Consider the following 21,529-nt stretch of genomic DNA (forward strand, 5'->3'; position numbering starts at 1 on the left):
CCAAATTGATGAACAGATTCAACACTATCCTCTCAAAAATGTCATCTGGCTTCTATGTAGAAATTGACAAACTGACCCTAAAGTTAATATAAAAATGCAAGGGATCCAGAATAGCCGAAACAATCTTACAACAAAACTGGGGGACTCAAGTTTCTCTATTTCAGATCTTAATGCAAAGCTATAGTAATTAAGACCGCATGGCACTAGAAAAGGCTAGACATGTAGCTTAATGGAATAGAACTACATTTTTATTAAATTATGAATAGAAATAAATCTTTACTTTTATGGACAATTGATTTAGACAAGCCTAGGCAATCATATGGGAGATGAACAGTCTTTTCAATAAGTGGTGCTGGGACAACTGGATATTCACCTATAAAAGAATGAAGTTGGACTCCTATTACAAACCACATACAAAAATTAACTCAATATGGGTCATAGTCTTACATGCAAGAGTTAAAACTATGGAACTCTTAGGAGAAAACCTGGGAATAAATCTTTATACCTTGAATTAGGCAATGGTTTCTTAGACACTGAAATCACAGGCAAAAAAAGAAAAAAAATGTAAATCGGACTTCTTCAAAATAAAAATCTTTTGTGGTTTAAAGCACATAATCAAGAAAGTGAAAAGACAGCCACAAAATGGGAGAAGATACTTGCAAGTCACAGATCTGATAAGGGACTGGAGTCCAGAATAAATTAACTCTTACAAATCAACAAAAAAAGGACAACCCAATTTAAAAATAAGCAAATGAGTTAAATAGACATTTCTCCAAAGAGGATATACAAATGACCATGGAAAGATGCTCAACACTAATCATCAAGGAAATACAAATCAAAACCACAATGACATACCACTTCATATGCACTGAAATAAAAAAGACAGACAATAACAGTGTTGGTGAAGATGTGGAGAAATTGGAACTCTCATGCATCATTGATGGGATCAGAAAAAAGATGCAGCCCATGTGTCAGTTCTTCAATGTTAATGTAAAGATACAGTTACCATAATAGCCTAGCAATTCCACTCCCAGGTGTCTCTCCAAGAGAAATGAAATATAAGTCCACACAAAGACTTGTATGCAAATGTTCATGTCAGCATTATTCATAGTAGCCAAAAAAAAATGGAAACAACCCAAGTATCCATCAACGAATGAGTGGACAAACAAAATGTGATATATCCATAAAATGGATTATTATCCAGCAATAAAAATGAATGATGTATTACTGATACATGCTACAACACAGGTGAACTTTTAAATCATTATGCTAAGTATAAGAAGCCAGACACAAAAAGCCACACGTTTTATGGTTCCATTTATAGGAAATGCTCAGAATAGACAATTCTGTAGAGACAAAAAGTAGATACAAGGTTGCCAGGAAAGAGAAAGGCATGACTCCTAATGAGTACAGAGTTTTGTGGGAGAGAAGGGTGGTGAAAATGTTCTAAAATGTTAAAGTGGTGATGGTTGCACAATTCTATGAATATACCAAAAACCACTGAATTATAAACTTTAGAGGGGTGACATCTATGACGTGAATTATATCTCAATAAAACTTTTCTTTTTTTTTCAAGTGAGGCCCAGCCTTCTCATATTTGTGATGTTAATGTCCACACAACCTCATCTGTACTCACAAAATTGTGAAGGAAGAGAACCTGGGTCCACACACACTTTAATGAAGCACGGTTCCTGAGTGTGGCTGCATCTGGTCCAGCTAGAAAGTTGTGCCTGGCATTTGACCTGCTAAAAAGCCAAGTTCCACATGGTCTAGAGTTCAATGCAGAAATATCCCTGGTACATATAAAGAAACCACTCCTGCTAGAGGGGTGGCGCCCGGTGGAGCTGCCTGTGCCCCACCCGCCCTCCCATGCCTCACACCCCTCTCAGTTGTCAGTTGCCCCTGGAACAGGTACTTCTGGAAATTCATATAGCCAAGGAAAGTCAAAAATGAAGAAGAATCCAACAAAAACACAGAAATACATCAGTTGACTTGGGTCAATGGCATTACTAACTACCCCCGGAGAAGCCTGGACACATCTTCAGTGTCTCTATTTTCCTTTCTGCCCTCCCCCAGTGCCCACTCCATCCCAAGTCCCTTTACAAAGCTCTGTGACAGTGGCTCTCCTAAGTATCTAGAATCTACCTGCTCTCCTAAGGCTCACTGCCTCCCCGAGTTCAGGCTTTATCAGCCTCCTCCCACAAACACGTAGCCTCCTCCCTGCTTTCCCTACCTCCAGCCCAGCCTAGCTACAATCCTCTGGGCAGAAGCCCCATTGGGTGTGTTTACATTCCAAATTTGTGCAGAAAATCCACATAGCTTCATTGGGTTACCCAGTCCAGAGCAAAAACGCCAGGCCTTTCTCACTCTGTCATCCAAGCTCAAAATCCAAGAGAGGAGAGTTTCAAGGAGGAGGAGCTTGGGAAGTTATCCACTGGGGTCAAGCTCCATGGAAAGGTCATGTAATAAAAAAACTGAAAAGAATCACTTGGGATGTGGTATCAGGGGGGTTACTGCAGACCTCTGGAGAAGCCATTTCAGGGGTGAGGTCAGAAGCCAACGTGCATTGGATGAAAGAATAAATATAGGTGGATTCTCAGTTTTGTAAGATGTAAAAATCAAGAGAAGCAAAATGAAAAAAAGCACTGATGTTGAAGACAGTTTCCCAGTTGCCTTGTTACATTTTCAGTGTGGGACTGAAGGGGTGGTAGGCATTACTTCAACAGAATCACAACACATTTTGCCCTTCTCACGGCCTGGCGCCTGGAAAAGCTTTGGGAATTATTAGCTGCTGCTATTGATGTTGAGGGCACCCACATGCCTTTAGAACCAGAATCTAAAATGTTCAGCCTCTCAATGTCTAAAATGAACTGCTGCAATGTTGCAGATTTAAAAATTAGAGGAAAGTTATTTTATTAAATACATTTTAGAATATAGGTTTTATAGAAAGTATGTTATCATAGCTACTCTAGAAGCTGAACTTGGGAGAGTCCCATGGTTAGAGGGACTGAGCATTCTGCCAACAACCAGCCCCACCTTGCCAGCCAGGCCAGTGAGCCACCCCAGAAGCAAGGCCACCTGCCTCAGTCAAGCCTGCAGGTCACTTGCAGCCCTGATGGACAGTCTGTGGGCAACCTCCTGAGAAACCCAAACGGGAACCATTCTGCTAAGCTGCTCCCAAATCTCTGACACACACAGACTGTGAAATAACAAATATTCATTGTCCGTTTAAGGCACTAAGTTTTGGAGTAATTTATTTTGAGAAACAGATAACTAACACAGCCCTGACAGCAATTGGTTATTGGCTATGTGATGCCGAGGGAGTGGATAACTTCCTAGCATGGTGGCTTCTGCTCTGCAAGGGCAATTCTTCAGGAAGCAGGTGGCTGCGGTGAGCAATACTCAAAGCTGGGAGATGAGTGCATCCGCCTGGTAAAGGGGCCCTGGGCAAGGCACCAATAGCATCCACTGGGGGTGTTGATTATAATCTAGTACCTAAATATAGTTTTGGTTTTGACAGGTCAGTTTGTACACAAACACAATTGTGGAAATATTTTGCATTTCTTTTGAAGGTCTCACCTCCTTAGTGTGTGTATCCAGGAGGTACACAACTAGAACTGGATGCACGAGGCAGCAGCAGTGGGAAGCAGCAAGGTGATCTAGAGACACTTTATTTATTACTCACTAAGTCCCAAAAAGTGCTTGCAAATATAGAAAGTGCAGGTAGAGATGATCAATAATAACTAACTATAGTGTCTTCCCTTCATTGCCATTGAGGTCTTGGTTTCCAATAAGACACTTCATAACTCATTCCTAAGCATGCTGTTGGAAATGGGAGGGAGGGAGAGGTGGCACACCAACGAGGTCAGGGAGGGAAGAGAGACTCTACGTCAGATGACGATGTCTCAGTTGTCACTTCAGGTTCTGGCTGCTCTCTCCACTGTACAAGGAAAGCCACCAAATAGAGGGCAAACTGCTCCCCCTACTCTCCCCAGAACACCCCTTTTTCCTATCCCTAGGTGTAAGTGCAGGAGACCCTGAGCATCTAATGGAGTCAGATGCTAAGTTAAACACCCAGAAGTCCCGGTTTCTATGGGGCCAGAGGAAAAGGCAGAGTGCTATTTCCAGACTTCAGTGGCAACCGAAAAATGAAAAAGACTCGTGTGGGTGTGGGGCAAAGGCTGCCCCAGAATGCCCAAACTTTAGCTTCAATAAACCTATCATAGCCATAATGAGGCAGTGCTGGGGCAGAAAAGAGAACCATATAGGGTCTTCTGCTCTGGCAGAATCATACCTGGTTGTGCAACCAAAGTGTCTTCTCACACCTGCCTCCTATGACACCATTTGGGTTTCTCCAACAGTCTTCCACGTGTGTGTGTGTGTGTGTGTGTGTGTGTGTTTAGAAAGAAGCATCTGGTCACCAGAAACTCAAAGGCCAATAACTCTTAACAAAAATACATTCACACTGGACAAGTGAACACTCAATCTAACACACAGCACCTGTGGCCCTGGGATGCTAGGCATGAGGTGGTTTTCTGCAGTGCTGCTTCTCATTCACCATCAGCATCAGAATCAGCATGAGCTTAATGACTGCTTGTTGCCTGCTTTGCAGTGATGATGACAATGATGGTAATATTAATGATGATGATGATGATGATGTTAATGAGCCCATGGACCAGATTTAGTGCTGCTGCCTATTTTGAAATTAAGAAATACATGATGACAGAAACTGAATTCAGGTAGCACTGGGCTAAAGGCAGATGACTGATGACTGCTTGGTGGCTAGCTTATATGCAATTCTTATGATGACCCTAAGGTAATTGTTGTTGATGATGATGATAATGATAATTGATGATCATGATCATGATGAGTCAGATCTGGGAAAACATCACCTGGCCTTCAGCAGCTAATGCATAGTAGTAATGAATAATTTTCTCTGGGCTTGAATAGGAATTCATGGTATGGACGTGGAAAAGAAGGAGGCTCTAGATCAAAAGAGAAAAGATAAGCATGGTCCGTTTTCAAGATATTGTGAAAAGTACAGGTTGAGCAATCCAAAAATCTGAAATGCTCAAAATTCTGCAACTTTTTGAGTATCAATATGATGCTCAAAGGTCATGCTCAAAGGAAATGCTCATTGGAGCATTTTAGATTTTAGATTTTCAGTTTGGGAATGCTCAACCAGCAAATATAATGCAAATATTCCAAAATCCTAAATCTAAAACACTTCTGGCTCCAAGCATTTCAATTAAGAAACATTCATTCTGTACTGATGTGGAGGCTGAAAACCTTGAATTTTATTTACCAGGTAGGGGAACATCATCATTAGTAGTGTTTCTTAACCTCATTAGTACTGACATTTTGGAATAGATAATTGCTGTGGGAGTCTGTTCTGTGTGCTGTGGGGTGTTTAACAGCATCCCTGCCCTCCAACCACTTGACGCCAGTAGCACACCTCCAGTAGTTACTGTGTAAAATATCTGTGGACATTACCAAATGCTCCTGGGGGAGGTCAAAAGCACCCTCGTTGAGAAGCATTGAGCTAAGAGAAACAGCAGACAACACGAAGCAGTCAACAGAGAACGGCCCTAAGCAGGAGAAGAAATGTCAGGCTGAAGGCAGTTCGTGCAGGGAGAGAGACTGTCCTCCCTCTTCCAGAGAAAAGAGCTGTCACGACACTGGACGAGGGCCCAGAGGCAGGACTTCAGAGCAACAACCTCAGAGAGCCATGATTCCAGAGCAGTCTCAGTGCCTGCTGTCACCACCTCGGACACGGCAGGTCCCACTCACCTCGGCTAGAGCTGCACCTGACTCACCCAGTCAGGGAGATGCCACTGTCTTCCTGAGGCCCTCTCATTTGGAGAGCACCTTCTTCAGAGCAACCCAAGGGAAGCCGGAGTTCCTCTTCAGCAGGGCTTTGAGATGCTTTCTAGCATGCCAGGTCCCTCCCTTCACAAAGGAAACACCCAGAGAGCAGGGAGGCAAGGGGCAAGCCCTCCCTCGCAGCGGCGCGGTCGACCCAAGCAGGAAGTGGAATCCTGCAGGGAAGCTGCCCAGAGCCCCTCTGCCTGCCACAGGTCCCTGTAAAAATGGTAGAATAAGTGCTAGGAAATGCAAATTGTAATCAAGGGCCATGCGACACTTAAAAAACTACACCTTGGTTTCCAAAGAAACAGAATGCTATTATGAGAGGCTCTGCCTCATTAGCCTCGGTTAATGTCAGCGTGTGTCTGAGGACAATGCCCCATGGTTCTATGATGGAGAGCAACTCAGCTGTGATGCCGCCTTCTCTTCTTCAATCGGATTGAGAATGAAGGCTTCACCTGTGGCTCTGAAGCAGACAGGTAGGAGTCTCACTGAGACACCTAGACGCAGAACAAATGACTCACCAGGATGAAGCTCCACCACTGCACAGCAGAGGAACGTGCACTGTACCCAGTGATGACTTGGGGCTCGGGCTCTGGGAGCCAGTGTGGCTCCTTACAGGCTGTGTGTTCTGGAGGGACTGAAATCTTCTCCTAGCAAATGGTGGACCAGGCTGGGGTCCCTGGAGCAAAGAGCAGCATGCAGGGCTGGGCTGTACCTGGGCATGTCAGTACCCCCTGCAAAGGTTAACTTAGCCCGCTAAGGGGACTCCCTGAGGCATCTAATTCAAAGGGTGAAATAATCTATTGAGTGCAGCCACACAGAATGAGCAGTTATGGGGGAGAGAAGGGATTCACTGAAACAGGGCAGGCTTTGTAGGGCTCCCATAGCTCCACCCTTGGGCCCAGGGCAACTCCTAGGGCCCCAAGCCAATTTTGAGCCCCCAGCAAGACAGGGAGCCCCTAGAGCTTCAGTATTCTCATATGAAAAACTAGGATAATGAGGCCTAACCACAGGTGACTGTGAGAACAAGGAAGAACATATGAGAAAGTGCTTCATGGGCCCTAAAGTGGGGAGTAAATGTTGGTTGTTATTGGCCTAATTGCATATGCTTTACAAATGGTACTTTCATTGTAATAAAGCATCTGCATTTCTACAGGAGAAGTTCTAGAGTTATTTTAACTCCTGATAAGAAAATAATATGTCCATGAGAGACCCTGACCCTGAGGCATTCAAACAGTTTGCAAACAGGCCTGGGCTCCCTGCCAGCACAGGCAGGCACTCCCCGGGATCCCAGGCCCTAGGGCAGTTTCAGAGACAGCAACCCAAAGCCATGCCAACTCTCCTCTAGAAGTACAAACAGTCCCTGCAGGCTCCTGGACAAACATCCAACTGACCCTTGATGCTGGGGACCAACAGTGAAAGGGAAGCTATACCCTGACTCCACATTAGCAAAGACGAATGAGCTGGAACTCACTTCTTTCTGCTCTTCCTATGTGATCTGGTCTGTTCAGAAACGCCTTTGCAGTGCTCTGAAGCCACATCTTCTGTAGCAGGTTGTTTGCAAAAACAACTGCAATGACCCTCCCCTCCCACATGGTTAATGTTCCTCTCCTCCCAACGTGAGCAGGGATCTGGGGTGCATCTGTGACTTGCTTTGACCCATGGGATGCAGCAGAAGTGATGTTGCATAACTTCCAAGCTGAGGCTTTACGTGGCCTTGTGGCTTCTGCTGTCTTGAACGGCCTTTGACATCCCCTAAGGGAGCTCACTCTAGAGCCCTTCATGAGAGGCCACATGAAGACAGAGGCTCTGATACCATATTAACCATGTCTTTTTATGTATTCTGACACTTCAACATCTAGGGCCTTGCTGACCTTGGCAGGTCTGTCCCTCCCAGGGTTAGCCAATTCCTAGAGACAGTAAACAACTTGCCCTTGAGCGTGCTTTTCACACACAAACTAACCAGTCGAGAGCTCATGCCCCCAGCTGCCTACTTCATCAGCCTTCCACAGGACTCACACACTCTAGGCCACTATTCCTCTGCCCTAAGCACCCCAAGGCCAGGTACCAGACAACTAGGGACAGCCCCTATACCCAGAGCCTGCTGAAACTACTCAAACTATAATAGCTAACCTTAACCCTGCTCACCTTGCCTCACTCATTCCTTCCCATGGAAACCACCGTAAAGGCTCTTGCCCATGTTTTTCCATCACTCCTATCTTCTCGCTGACCATACTGCCTCCCTATTCGGTGCTGCATGGCATAGTACTTTCCCTTCTGTTGGGATCTGTGAGTAACAAACCATCTTTTCAGTGGTAATCGACACTTGATCTGTTCATCTCTCCATACCTGAAGAATAATGCAACCTATATATATTTTTTAAATCAACTATAATTTATTCAATTAAGCATAAATTTACTTTCACATTTGTCTACAACCACAGTAAATACAGTTCTTGGAATAAGGACAAAGACTTTAGAATTTAAAACCTCACCACCTGCAAGATTACATATATAAAACTCCCACTACTGTTTAGATAATAGTGGATTAATCAAATTAAAATAGTTAACACTATCTAGAATAAAATAAAATGGAAATAATTTACTCATAAGATTCCTATTTAAATCATCCTTATTTACAAAATACTATCCTGAGAATTATAATTCTATTGTTTCAATTTGAGCAAAAGTGTAATCACTGAAGTAACAGCAGTTACTTCAACTGAAAATGAGAATAGTCAAAATGACTTTTGAAGACAGCAAAAATATTATCAGGTTTCTTGCCGTGGTTCTGGATCTTCAGCAGCAGGCTCATTTGAAGGCAGACTCAACCCTAAAGGGAACTCACTCTATCTTCAGAATGTGGGGGTGGGGGTGGGGGCAAAATCCAGGTCTTGGGGGAAGGTAAGGAGGAAAACCCCTCGGTGGACAGACATTTCTCATTGCAAATGGAGCACGTGGTGGACCTGGGACATCCCTTGGTGGAAAATAATCTGGAGAAGCTCCAAACATGGTTCCTGGAGGAGGTGGAGGGAAAGGAGGTCCTCTTCTCATGAACGGGCCCCTCGTATCCACTGGAAACAATGGACCTCTGATTGAAGCAAGAGGTGGAGGAACAAAGCCAGGGCCACTCACTTCATTTCCAGCAGGGAGAGATGAATCAGCCACATTTAAATTACCAAGATTATCTTTGGTATCATTTCCACTGGATTCCATTTCTGAAGGCATTGACCCATCCATTTTATCCAAAGAAGGTATATTAAAACTTCTGAGTTCTGCTAGTCCAGAGCGTCTAGCAGAATTAGAATAAAATCTGTCTTGCCTTTGTGGAGGAAGAGCTGAATCAGGATATGATTGTCCTGGTGGAGGAAACATCATCCTACGGTCCTGTTCCCACGGAGGTGACAGGGGCCCAGTGTCAGAAGGAGCCTTGTGAGGATCAGTAAACCTATCACAGCTTGATTCTCCTCTTTCCTTGGTAATCTGGTGGTCCAGAGGATTCCCTGGGCCTCTTGGGTCTCTTCCTCCTCCCCCTGGAAGCAAAGGTGAGAGTCTCAGTGGACCCTCCAACAAAGTCGGAAGATAGAGAAAAGCTCTCGTTTCAGATGAAGGCCGACCCAATGGTGAGGGACCATATGAGGAATGCTCTCTGCCAAATGCTGTATTTGGAACATCAAGTGCATAAGGATCTTTTTCTAAAAGTTTAATTTTAAACTCTGTTTCAGCTAATTTTTGTCTTTTGTGAGCATTTTCTTTCCTTAAATCATTGAGGTTTCTTTCAGCAGTCCATGCTGCCAAACAATTATCATGTGCTTTTTTCTCATGGTATATAATCTTCCCTTGATAAAAAAGAATAGTTCTCTCAAGTTCTTCTTCAAGATCTTTGGCTCGCTTTCTGCAGGTCTCCAGCTCTTCAGTGGCATGGCTGATCATTTCGTCTACTTTAGAAAGTTTCTCTTTCTCTAACCGGTTATTTTCCTCTACTATTAATTTCCTGTAGAGTTTCATTTCATTTTCTTGATATAACTCAGTCATTAACTTTCTGTTGAAGTTTCTGATTCTCACTTTCAAAATGTGTGTTTTCCGACTGCAAAGATGCTTGTTCCGTCTGAAGATTTTTAATATGCTCTCTAAGCTCTTCCTTGGTTTTATCAACTTCAGATAACTGAATATAAATTGGTTTCTTTCTCCTTCTAAGGTTGTTAAAGAAGCATTTAACTTAGCAGCATGAATCAGTTTCTTCAAAGCTCCTTTTGGAGGATTATCTAAGTAAGCACCATCTTTCAATTCACTGTTCATTTCTAATTCCAAGTTACCATCATCCGTTATGTCTTCTTCCAGCACAGCAGCCTGATCTTTGATCTTTAGCAAGCGTTCAGTCAGAGTCTCGATGTGATTTTCTTTATCATTTAGAACTTGTTCTGCGTGTACTTTGGAGTCTTCAAATGTTATTTTCTGTTTATTAAGTTCACTCACTTGTTCTTTCCATACTTCAGCTTCTTGCAAAAGCTGTTTCTGGCTTTCCTGAAGTTGACAATTTTCACTCGAAGCATCTTGTATTCCTATCTCCAGTTTTTCTTCATTCATTTGAAATCCCTTGAAGGTCATTTTGGCTTCAGTTAGTAGTGATTTGAGGGATTTTGACTCATCTTCTAGAGACTGTATCTTTTTGGAAATATCTGCCATCACCTCATCTTGTTCAGAATGTTTAGATTTCTCTTCTTTTATCCCCTTTTCTAGACAGAGTATTTCATGCTCCAGTTCAGAATTGGACCTGTTCAGCTTTTCACAGTTTGCCTCCAGACTTTGTGCTTCTGTTGCCTCCTTCTCAAAGCTGGCATCCTCTAAAGATGACTCTACTTCATAGCCTTCATACTCTTTTTGAACAAGGCTAAATTTTTCAAGTAGTCTACATTTTTCTTCAATTAGTCCAGAAAGCGCTATAGCAAGCTCTTTCTCTCTTCCCACATAAAGCCGACTCCTAACCGATCTAAAACTTCTCCACAAAAAAAAGGGAACAGCAACAAATCCAAGGACAGCTGCACATATCACCAATTCCCATGGAAAACCATAAGGATTCGAATTTGGTCTCACACCTTCAGGCAGTGCTGCCATAACCCTGGGTAGCAACTGCAGGACCAGCCCCAAGTACAGCTGAGGGGTAGCCCTAGGCTCCTCCATAGTGCCAAGGCTGCTCTGGCAGTGGCCAAAGTAACCATGGCCTGTCGAGGCCACAATAAGCGGCAGAGAATACACAGCCTTCTGTTCGGAACTCAAATCTGCGCCAGGCAACCGGAGCGGACCACTGCGGAGTCAGCTGCGGGGGAATCTGGAGGACACGAGCACCCACAGGCCTGACAGGCCCACGCTGCCCACCCCAGCCCCCTTGTTACACTCTACATCCTGAGGCAGCGCTAAAACCTGTATTTTAAAACAATACCACATGCAGAGAAAGACTCAGGTGACCCAGCATCCCAGCTATGCCCATCCCCAAGCTGACACCCTAGCTAAATGCAGTCTTGTGCATGAGCCCAGGTGAGGCCAGCAGAAGAAACTCCCAGCTGACAGAATGATAAGGAATAACAAATCATTGTTTTAAGTCGCTAAGCTTTGGGGTCTTTCATTATGCAGCAGTAGCTAACTGAAATACCTGCCACCTTATCACTTTGGTGTTTCAGTATCTGTTGCCTGAAATCATTACTTTGGGTGCTTGACTAAGATTATGCCCCATGGTAAATTGTGATAAGTAATTTTACAGCTAAAATATAAATTTTCTGATTGACCATTACGTCATTGAAGAGAGATTTATTAAGCTCCTCCCAGATGAGGCAGATTATGCTTTTTAGGTTAACTCCTTCCAGGAAAGGGCTCACCTCTGCCTAGCATGATCCTCAACTGTCCCATGCACGACTGAAAAACACTAGTCTCATCCCCAGAAGATCCAGGGCACTTAAAACAGTGCTGTCACATAGAGAGTGTTCCTCTTAACTGTCCATCAAACATACCTGCTCTGTGTCCATTTCTGAAACACTGGCAATCCTTCAACACAGATGATGCCCTGCCCTGCAATGAGCCATCACCTCCCGCGCATGCACATATCTTCAACTCATCCGGAAAGCTTGCTCCTTCAGGAGAGGAACCAACTACCTAGCAAAATGTCCTTCACGTACTAGATGTTCTATAAATATTTTTGCTTAATTGGTTTCTGGAGACTCTGGGTTTTTTGCTTTTTGTTTGTTTTTGCTAGGCACCAGTTGGCTGCTCTAAGCGTGGGCCCACGCTGACCTGACAGTGGGTGTTCACATTGAAACAGAGGTCACATCTGCCACTCCCTTGCCCACAGCCTCCATTGGCTTCTAAACTTGCCCGAGACAGAGCCTCCCGGCCCTCCATGCACTGCCCAGCTCCATCTCCTCCTCTCCGACCCACTCCCTCCCACTGCTCTGCTTCTGCCTTCCCCTCCTTGCCTTTCCCTGAACACAACAAGCCCACTGCTGCCTCAGGGCTTTCCCGCTTCTTTCCTCTGCCTGGACCACCCTTACTTCGGGCACCCACATGGCCACTCCCTCAAGGATCTGTTTGAATGTCACCTGTCAGTGTGGCACCTCCCACCCTCACCCTAGCCTTGCAGGCTCTATCTCACTTCCTTCCTTCGTCTTTCTCCATAGCTGTCTTCCTCCATCATGGTCTGACAAACCACAGATTCATCTATTTGCTGATCATTATGTAAAGGTCCAAAAGGGCCAAGATGCGGTGGTTTTCCCTGTTTTTCCAGTCCCGAGCACAGTGTGTGCAGCAGGTATTCGGTAATTATTAAGAAGTGAATGGACACGAGAGGGAGGCAGAGCTCTTGAGACCTGTTTCCCATTCACGCTTGTTCTTTGTGCTGCTACCAGTGGCTGTTCTGCAAACAGCCTTCTCCGTATCACGTGGGGGCAGCAGCCTCAGGAGCACCGAGCCATGCCTGGCACATCCTCCACAGAGCTCCCAGCCCACAGTACATTCTCGGGAAACTGATCTCTTACTAAAAGCTGTGGGGGACTGGAGAGAGGGTTTATGTGGTACACCCCTTGGCCACACTTTCCAAATTTCCCTCTAAACGCCTTTCTCTTTCTTTCACTAAACTTCCTCCCTAATTATTGCCAATTTGTTTCTCTAGGACCACTCCAGGAAGCCTCGCCAGCCCCTAGACCCAGTAAGTGATGCTCCACAGCTCCACATGCCCCAGACATGTGGGCTACCAGTGGCACTGACCTCGGTGTCTGCCTACTGACCCCTGCTCATCCACCCATCACGGCTTTGGAAGCTCAAGGGCAGCGACAGTGGCCCCCATGTCCAGTGCAGTCCTGGCACACAGTTCACATTTAATGCACGCTCACTGAATGGATGAATGAATACATACACGAATGAAGCAGAAAAAATACTTAGGAATCTGAAAAGTTAGACGGATGGAAATGACAATAGAAGGAGCTTCAGAGTTAGAAAATTAACACTTGTGAACCCAGGATTCTGCCTGCCATTCAGGACTAACAGGTGTCCACTGAACAAAGCTTTCCAAGGAAAGCAATTTCACAGCTTCACCACTTCCTCTTTCTGGGCAAAGCCTGTTAATTCACACACCAAATTAATAGATGAGTGGGCAAACTGCATTCTCAGGGTTCAGTCTGTGCTCATGTTATCCTAAAGCTAACGCTTCGTGTGGAATGCAGTTGAGGACCTCGGGTTGAAGGTGAAAGCTCCTCCCCCTACTCTTAGACATCCCTTTCCCCCAAATGGCAGGGTCAGGAGCTTCAATCCCTTGCATAAAAAAATTCTACTGAGATACACTGAATTTTAAACAAATAACCAAGGAGCTAAGTGAGGCAGTTTGCTTTTACCAGTGGCATTTTGAAATTTACCAGGAAGGTTTTTAAAAAATAGTATTGGCGCCAAAGAAATGGGAGGGGTGTTCCTGAAAAGGGCAATGCAGCAGAATGAACCTCTTGGAATGACTGTAATTATATTGTCTCCCTGCTCTCTAAGCCAGTGACAACGTGTGCTTACTGAGCTCTTCCCTGATGAGCAGGCCCCTCAGTCCTCTTTTTCTGGATTTGCAGCTGCATTGCAGGGGCAGCTTAAAATAACCCAAACCCAGGCCAGGCTGCAACTGATGTCGGACGCTCTAGGCTACAGGGCTTGGGGCAGCACCACCTAGAGTCTGCAGCCATTATGGTGCATGTCCTTCTGGGGGATGCTAATGACCAGGAAGTCTCCAGAGGATTGGGCCAGCCAGGAAATACAGCCTGCCCTCATCTATTAGCCTTTTCTCCTGGAAAAGATGTCTGCAGTACAAACATCTGATGCCTCTGGGAAAGAAATACTGCTACACATGCTCTAAAGATGACAAATAAAATCACCACAGCCTGTTGTCATCAGGCAGACCTGTGGTGATCAAGCAGCATGGCTGGGATTTTGGGTGCATTTGGGAGGACCCGGCAGAAAGAGAATGCCAGAGGCTGTCAGCCTGCTGCACAGCTGCAAACATGTTAAGAGAGACAGACAGGCAAAGCTGACATCTGTCAGGGAACAATTAGCTGCCATCAAGCCCTTACCTCTGTTCAGCCCTCTGCAGGTGTGAGATGTTTGCAGATGTCCTTCTATTCTAACACAGTTTCTTCTTCACACACATTGAGAAAAAAGGAAGCTGAGAGTACATGCTGCAGGAAGAAGTCACTTGATTCCCAAGGTCAGTTCAGCTCAGGAACAACAATCACCAGTTCCACGGGTGCTACAGGCCAATACATGCAGAGTTGGATCGTGTAACTTGTCATATAATGCCTCATTTAATCCATGAATAACTCGATGAGGTGGGTCATATTAAGCTCGTTTAATACATAGGGAAATTGACGCTTAGCAGGGCTGAGCAGCACTGTCACCAAGGTGGAGAAAGCCAGGCAAGTAGAGGTCAGCCAGGTATGTCTGTCGCAATGGAAACGCCAGTGTTCTCCTGCTCACCTTGCAGGTCTTGAGACTGACTGCAGCATCTCAGGCCAATTCAGGGACAGGGGACAGGGGCTGGAAGGGACATTCCTCTTGGGGACCCAGAGCTGACTCCTGGGATTCCCCACTTAGCCCACCTGCCACCATGTAAGGCGGGCGATGGAGCTGTGAGTTCAGCCTCTGACTCTGCTACTCTGGGCAACTCCCACAACCTCCCTGAGTGGCAATGGTTAATTGCACTGTCTGAGAGCTGGCCATAGAGTGCATTAGCTGAGAGATCCTGGCTCCTCGGAGTGTGGCCCACAGAGCAGCAGCCTCACAGCACCTGGGCACCAGCCCACATCTACTGAGTCAGAATCTGAACTTTAACAAGACCCTGACTCCAGGGGCACATGTTAGAGTCCAAGATGCCCTTTTGAGGCCCACGTTTGAACTCCAGCTTCAAATCCTGGCTTGGCCATTTAGTGGCTGTGATTTCGGCTGTTACTTAATTACTCTGTCAAGAATCGATTCAGGTTTTGTGGGCCTAAATCTTATACAATCTGGAGTATTTTCCTTAAGAAAAGAAGGATATAAAATTACAAATACAAAATTAGGTACAAAAGTGATGTTTAGAATGTAAATACTTCACGGCAAATTACAAATATTGAAGAGCTGGAAAGTACCGCAAAAACAGTAAACAATAAAGAAAAATCATTTCATGTTTTTATCAACCAATACACTTCTGCAATACTTTTATCCTGTGCTTTGGGGCTCTGATTGACTTTTCATCTGGCTATGATTTCATAAAAGATAATTCAGCCTTTTCCCTAGCAAGGTTGATAGAAATGTTTCATTATCGATAGTTGGAATGTGTAGAATATGCCACTTCACGCATAGACATACTCATTAGATACAGCACTACTATTAATTTCTGCCCTAAAGATACAATAGCTGCAGTGAATTGTATTTCTTGGAATTGCCATTGAAAAAGAAAACAATGCATGATGTGCTTAAAAGTATATAGGCCACATTAAGTATGTTCCTGACAAGAGAGACCTTTGTTGATGAGAATCAACTCTGCTAACAATTTTACATGTCAGATAATTGGGAGAATTCTCCAGAGTAGCTTTGAACTCCACATGCTACAGATCTGGGGTTCCTCTACTGTTCATGTTCCTCTACATATACGCAGAGACACGCCCCTGTCACCATGCCCCTGGGTGAGTCACGAAGTGGACAGTGGGAGTAGTCCTGGGTCCTGGAAGTCATTCCTATACAGGGAGCACTTGATACACAGAAGTGGTAGCAAATCATCTGAATAGATCTCACTCATTCAAACTAATTGTATGCCCAACTCAATGACCTTTTCCCCTTAAAATCACTGACACGTGGCCGGGTGCGGTGGCTCATGCCTGTAAATCCCAACACTTTGGGAGGCTGAGGCAGGCGGGTCACGAGGTCAAGAGATGGAGAACTTCCTGGCCAACATGGTGAAACCCTGTCTCTACTAAAAATACAAAAATTAGCTGGGCGTGGTGGTGTGCACATGTAGTCCCAGCTACTCGGGAGGCCGAGGCAGGAGAATCACTTGAACCCGGGAGGCGGAGGTTGCAGTGAGCCAAGATCACACCACTGCAGTCCAGCCTGGGTGACAGAGGGAGACCTCTTCTCAAAAAGAAGAAAAAAAATCACTGACACTTAACACTGGGAACGTGTATGTGCTGGAGGGGACACCGGCATGAAGAAACCTATCTAAACCAATTACAAGTGAAATATTAATAACTAACTTTGCAAAACTTGCAAAACACATGACCAAGAGAACCCATGGCTGGGCCCCTTCCAGAGCCCCTTCCTGTGCATTACAGAAGCCTTGAGGGAGAAGCTTCAGTGAACAGCCCAGTGAACGGCCCAGTGAATGGCCTCTGTACTCTGGTCTCAGTTCTTTCTCCATGAAACAGCAGGAACAATAGTATTTTACATATGGGCTGTGTGAGAGCTGGGGAGAATAGATATGTAAAGGGTTTCTATGTACTTATCAGGGTGCCTGGCATATATTTAAGGTTCAACAAGTGGTAGCTATCATCAACGCATTCTTCCCTTATTGAAAACGTCTTATTTTAGTCTGCATTTTAGTTTAGAGAAAGGAGCCACATGGAGCCAGGTGCTGGCTTGGATTTGGCCCTTCCAGCCATCCGAGCATGGACTGACCCAGCCCTCTTTCCTAGGTTTGCATCCCAGGTAGGGCCTGGTTCCCTGGGGCGCCATTGGCCCAGAGCCCCTCAGGGTCACCTCAGGTCAGTTATCCAAGAAATCCTTAAGTTTCATCTTTTAAATCATCCATGTAAAATTTATTTTACCTCAGTGATTTTTCTTCTGAGAATCCTATTTAAACACACTCTTTCCCCCTTCAATTAAACCAGCAAGAATTCAGTACCCTTCTACCCCTTCAACTCTTCCTCCACCCCGTGAGCATTCCCATGCATCATTCTCCGGCATCATTCTCACTGCATCCTCAGGCTCTGGGAAGCTGCGTGATCACCTGAGGTGATCCAAACTCAGGTCTGTCTCGCTCACCAGTGTTTTCTCCATTCCCTTATGCGGAGGAGGACAAGTAAGGCCCCGTTAACGCTAACCTGTGGGCTTAAGCCCTAGCTGCCCATCTGCTGACCAGGCGGACATTCACTAAAGACCATGAATATGACTTATGGGTGCCAGCCCACCCACCTCCTAGTCCCACACTGCACCTGCAAACATCACCATGGAGCTCCACAGGGCAACCGTTCCTTCCTCGTCTAAGTGACTTGCCAGTGGACCAGCGACATCCCAGGTCTCTCTCTCTCAACAAATGGCAGCAGGTTGGTGGGGATGTGATGCTGCCAGGTGAAGGACAAGTTTTATTAAGCCTGAGTAAAAGACTGGGGGTAGCTGGGGACAAGGAGGAGTTTGAGCACCCAGAGAGGGTGCTCACAGAAGGAAAGAGGGAGAGAGCAGAAGCAGGAATTCCAGAGGAAATAATATAATTCAAGAACAAAGATGGACAGGCACCCCTAGGTTCCTGAATCTTCCATCTTCTGCCACCCCTGCCCTGCTCACATATCCAGGTACCCTTACACACCTGAGCCAATCCAGTGAGCTGTTTTCTGGGAGATGCTAGGGAAACCCACACGCTACTGAGGACAGGTGCTACCAGCGAGTCCTGTGGTTTAAGGACAGTGTTCCTCAGGGCTGTGTAGAAGGGCTCTGCGCTAAAAGCAATTCTGCTAATTACTAAGTATGTGTTGGGCAAGTTAAGTTACTTAACATCTCTGAGTTCACGTTTCTGAGCTGCAAAATGCATTGATGGGGCTTAAACGAGATGACAAAAGTGCCTGCAGCAGCTACCCGATAAATCACAATATCATCACAATTCTGGGTTGACCCTGGTCTCTGCCCCAGGGAGTTCCGAATTCTCACGTCCCAAACTGCAAACTCAGTGTCCTCCAAGAATGTCGCCCTTCTCCTCCCACCTCTAGATGTTTCAGTAACTTCTTTCCTGTTTATTGAGAGATTCATCCCAGTGTCCTCTCATTCCCTTCTGTCCCTCTGGGAATTTCTTCCATCAGTTTTGCTTCCTTTTTCATACCTGTCACCTGAGCTTCCAAATATCGATCTCTCTCCATCCTAAAAATATTTCTGTGCCTCATCCCTGCATGCTCAAAGGTGATCTTCCTTCTCCTCTTTACCATCACAGTTCTCAAAATAATGATTGGCATTTCTTGAATGTTTCTCTCGAAGGCCCTCTGTGAACTCCTAGTGCCAATTCCAGCAATGCCTTGGGGGTCAGCACTTCCTCCTGCCACCTCTGCACCTTCAGCTGTTCTCCATCCTGGAACTTTCCTGACAGCCCCCTGGTCCTCATCTCAAGTCATCTGTAACATTTAATGTGACTGACACTTCCCGCTTTAAAAATCTTTCTCAGTGTCTGGATATTTTAGAATTGCACAAGGCAGTATGAAGGGGTGGAAAGACATGGCATCCGGGATTTACTTTAAATTACTTCAGCAAATAAAAAAGAGAAAAAGAAAGAAAAGGAGGAATAGAAGAAGCAAAAATGATATGGCAAAACCTTGACAATTATTTAATTCAAGATGTTCAGGGTGGGTATATGGGGATTCACTCTTAGTCTCTGTATTTCTACATACAAAGCAATTGACATTTTCCATGTAATTTTTAAAACTATTTTTATTTATTTAGTTAGTCTTTGGAACAACGTCTTGCTCTGTCATCCAGGCTGGAGCACAGTGGTGCAATCACAGCTCACTGAAGCCTGAACCTCCCCAGCTCAAGTATCCTCCCACCTCAGCCTCCCAAGTAGCTGGGACCACAGGGACACGTCACCATGCCTGGCTAATTTTTGAAATTCTTTTTTTTTTTTTTTTTTTTTTTTTGTAGAGACAGGGTTTTGCCATGTTGCCCAGGCTGGTCTCGAACTCTTGAGTTCAAGTGATCCACTCACCTTGGCCTCCCAAAGTGCCAGGATTACAGGCATGAGCCACCATGACCGGCCCCATAATTAGAAATTATTTTTCTTTCCTGGACCTCCTTATGACACATCTCTCCTGGCTCTGCTCCTTTCTGAAACCTCCTATTCCCATCTTTTCCTTCTCTTTCTCTACCTGCTTTGTGAAAAATAAGTGCTTCCCAAGGCCCTTGCTCGCCTCTGTGTGAAGTGCCAGTGGCCAGTGCCGAGGCCCAGGTGAAACTCCCCAGCCCACTGATTCACCTGAGCCTGCTGTGAAGGTGAGCCAATGCTATAGCTTTAGTCCTGCCCTCTCTACAAACACCAGACCCACGTGTATTTTTAAAAATTTACACATATTTTAAATATGTATATAAATACAGAGAATAAGAAGACAAAATCCCTGACCCACTACCCAGATTTAACCAGTGCTGACATTTTGGTACATTTGCTTCATAGTTTTAGAAATAACAAGTTACAAATATAGCTGAAGGCCCCGACACACCTCTCCCAGACCCCATTCTCTTCTCTTGCTCCCCATAGGAAACCACCGATCTGAACTTGGTATATAGCCCCAGACCATGTTTGTACTTTGACCACAGAGACTGGTGTCTAGAACAATACATAAAATTATTTTTTTTAATCTTCATGACTCTTTAAGTATCTGTAATTTTTTTCACTCAACACTGTGTTTTCCCCATATTGATACACACAGATCCTGTTGGTTCATTCTGAATGCTGCAGAGTAAATACTTTCTCTTATGACACACATCGCAAGTTGTCTGTCCACTTCCCTAAGCAGACGTCTCGGCTGTGTCCCGAGCAAACGGTGCCATGGTGACCTGCCTTTGCAGGTCTCCTGCTGCGCACCTGCGTGAGCATGTCGCTCTCCTCACCTGCCACCGTCCCTGTGACATTTTCTTGTGCTTGTTTGCTTTTCTGACTCCCCCACTCAAATGCAAGCAAAGAAAGTGAGTACTTTCATCTCTATGCTATTAATGCATCATGCCTAGCTCATAGTGGATTAATATGAAGGAGAAAAGGAAGGAAGGAAAGGAAGAAGGAAGGAAGGAAAGGAGGGAGGGAGGCTTTCTATCACCAGGCTCAGGAGCTAAGGACTAGGCAATACGTGGAATTATTTTGTGGAAGTCCAGGTATGACGTTGCAGTGAGGAATCCAAGAGGCATTTTAATAGCAATGTATATGCCTGCAACCAAAGAACATACTCTCAGCAAGCGTTTTACCTCTCAGCAGAAAGATGTGAGCTGCTGCCTGTATTTTGCGCTGCTGCCTGTATTTTGCACTGCTCCTGAAACGGGTCTGATAACAGCTAGTTATAGAATATTTGGTGTCATTTTCCAGATGAAGGGAACTACATGGTCTCAAGCCAGCTAAGACTTGACAGAGAAAAGATAAGACTTTGACAGTAATTCAGCCAACGTGTATTTCCACTCCTGCTCTGTGCCAGGCAGCACAGGTGAGCCCTGAGGAGGGTCTGGGTAGGGCATGGCCTCTTCACTCCCCTACAATCCACTCACCACATGAAGCAAATCATGTCACGCCCCTCCTTCAAGCCCTCCAATGTCTCCCAGCAGCTTTGCAATAAAGTGTCAACTTCTTGCTCTGCTGGTGTCTTTGAGATCTGGGCCTGTTCTTCCTGCCTCCCTCCATCCTACCCATGTGCACCAGTGCTGACCCTCCCAGCCGGGTCCCCTCAGGGCTTTCTCACTCACAGGGCAGTATCTTCCCATGGCAATCCCCCTCCCCACCTCTCATCACTGCCTCCTCTACCCTGCTGTCCTGCTACAGTGTCTTCATGGCACTTTCCACTGGCAGAAATGACAGGATTTGCCTATTATTGCTGTCTCTTTGTTCCACTAGAATGTAAACTCATGAAGGGCAGGAGCCTTGTCTGAATCGTTTCTTGGCTGTAGATCCCTCACCTACAATTGCGACAGTCACCTAATGAGTATTTATTGCAAGTGGACTTCCGGTGGCCTTCAGATTCTCTGCCCCATCGTGCCTGAGGCCCAGCTGTGAAACTGCAACATTCCTGCACTCCAATTATGGATTCCCCTTAGGCTCAAACTCATTTCATTTTGCTTGTGATAACTGCAATTCACAGCTCTGCGACGCCTGGTGGGAGAGGAGCTAGGCAGAGAGCTTGCTGTATCAGGAGGCAGCCATTGAGTGCTGACCCTGG

At 45.3% G+C, this 21,529-nt stretch overlaps 1 protein-coding gene and 1 pseudogene across 3 annotated transcripts in view; both read right to left on the reverse strand.

The window, feature by feature from the left end:
• TMEM272 (transmembrane protein 272) overlaps positions 1-21,529 on the reverse strand; it is a 121,020-nt gene that overhangs the window by 86,227 nt on the left and 13,264 nt on the right. Inside the window, exon 1 of one of the 3 annotated variants that reach the window (XM_047430279.1) lies at positions 14,459-14,523. The exons of the other annotated variants lie outside the window; for them this stretch is intronic. The gene's annotated coding sequence lies outside the window, so the exon portion shown is untranslated. Of the gene's footprint in view, positions 1-14,458; positions 14,524-21,529 lie in introns of those variants that run through there. 3 annotated transcript variants of the gene reach the window in all.
• On the reverse strand, positions 8,247-11,123 carry CTAGE3P (CTAGE family member 3, pseudogene; annotated as a pseudogene).

This window comes from Homo sapiens, chromosome 13 (genome assembly GCF_000001405.40).
Source record: "Homo sapiens chromosome 13, GRCh38.p14 Primary Assembly".
In the NCBI taxonomy this organism is placed as follows: Eukaryota; Metazoa; Chordata; class Mammalia; order Primates; family Hominidae; genus Homo; species Homo sapiens.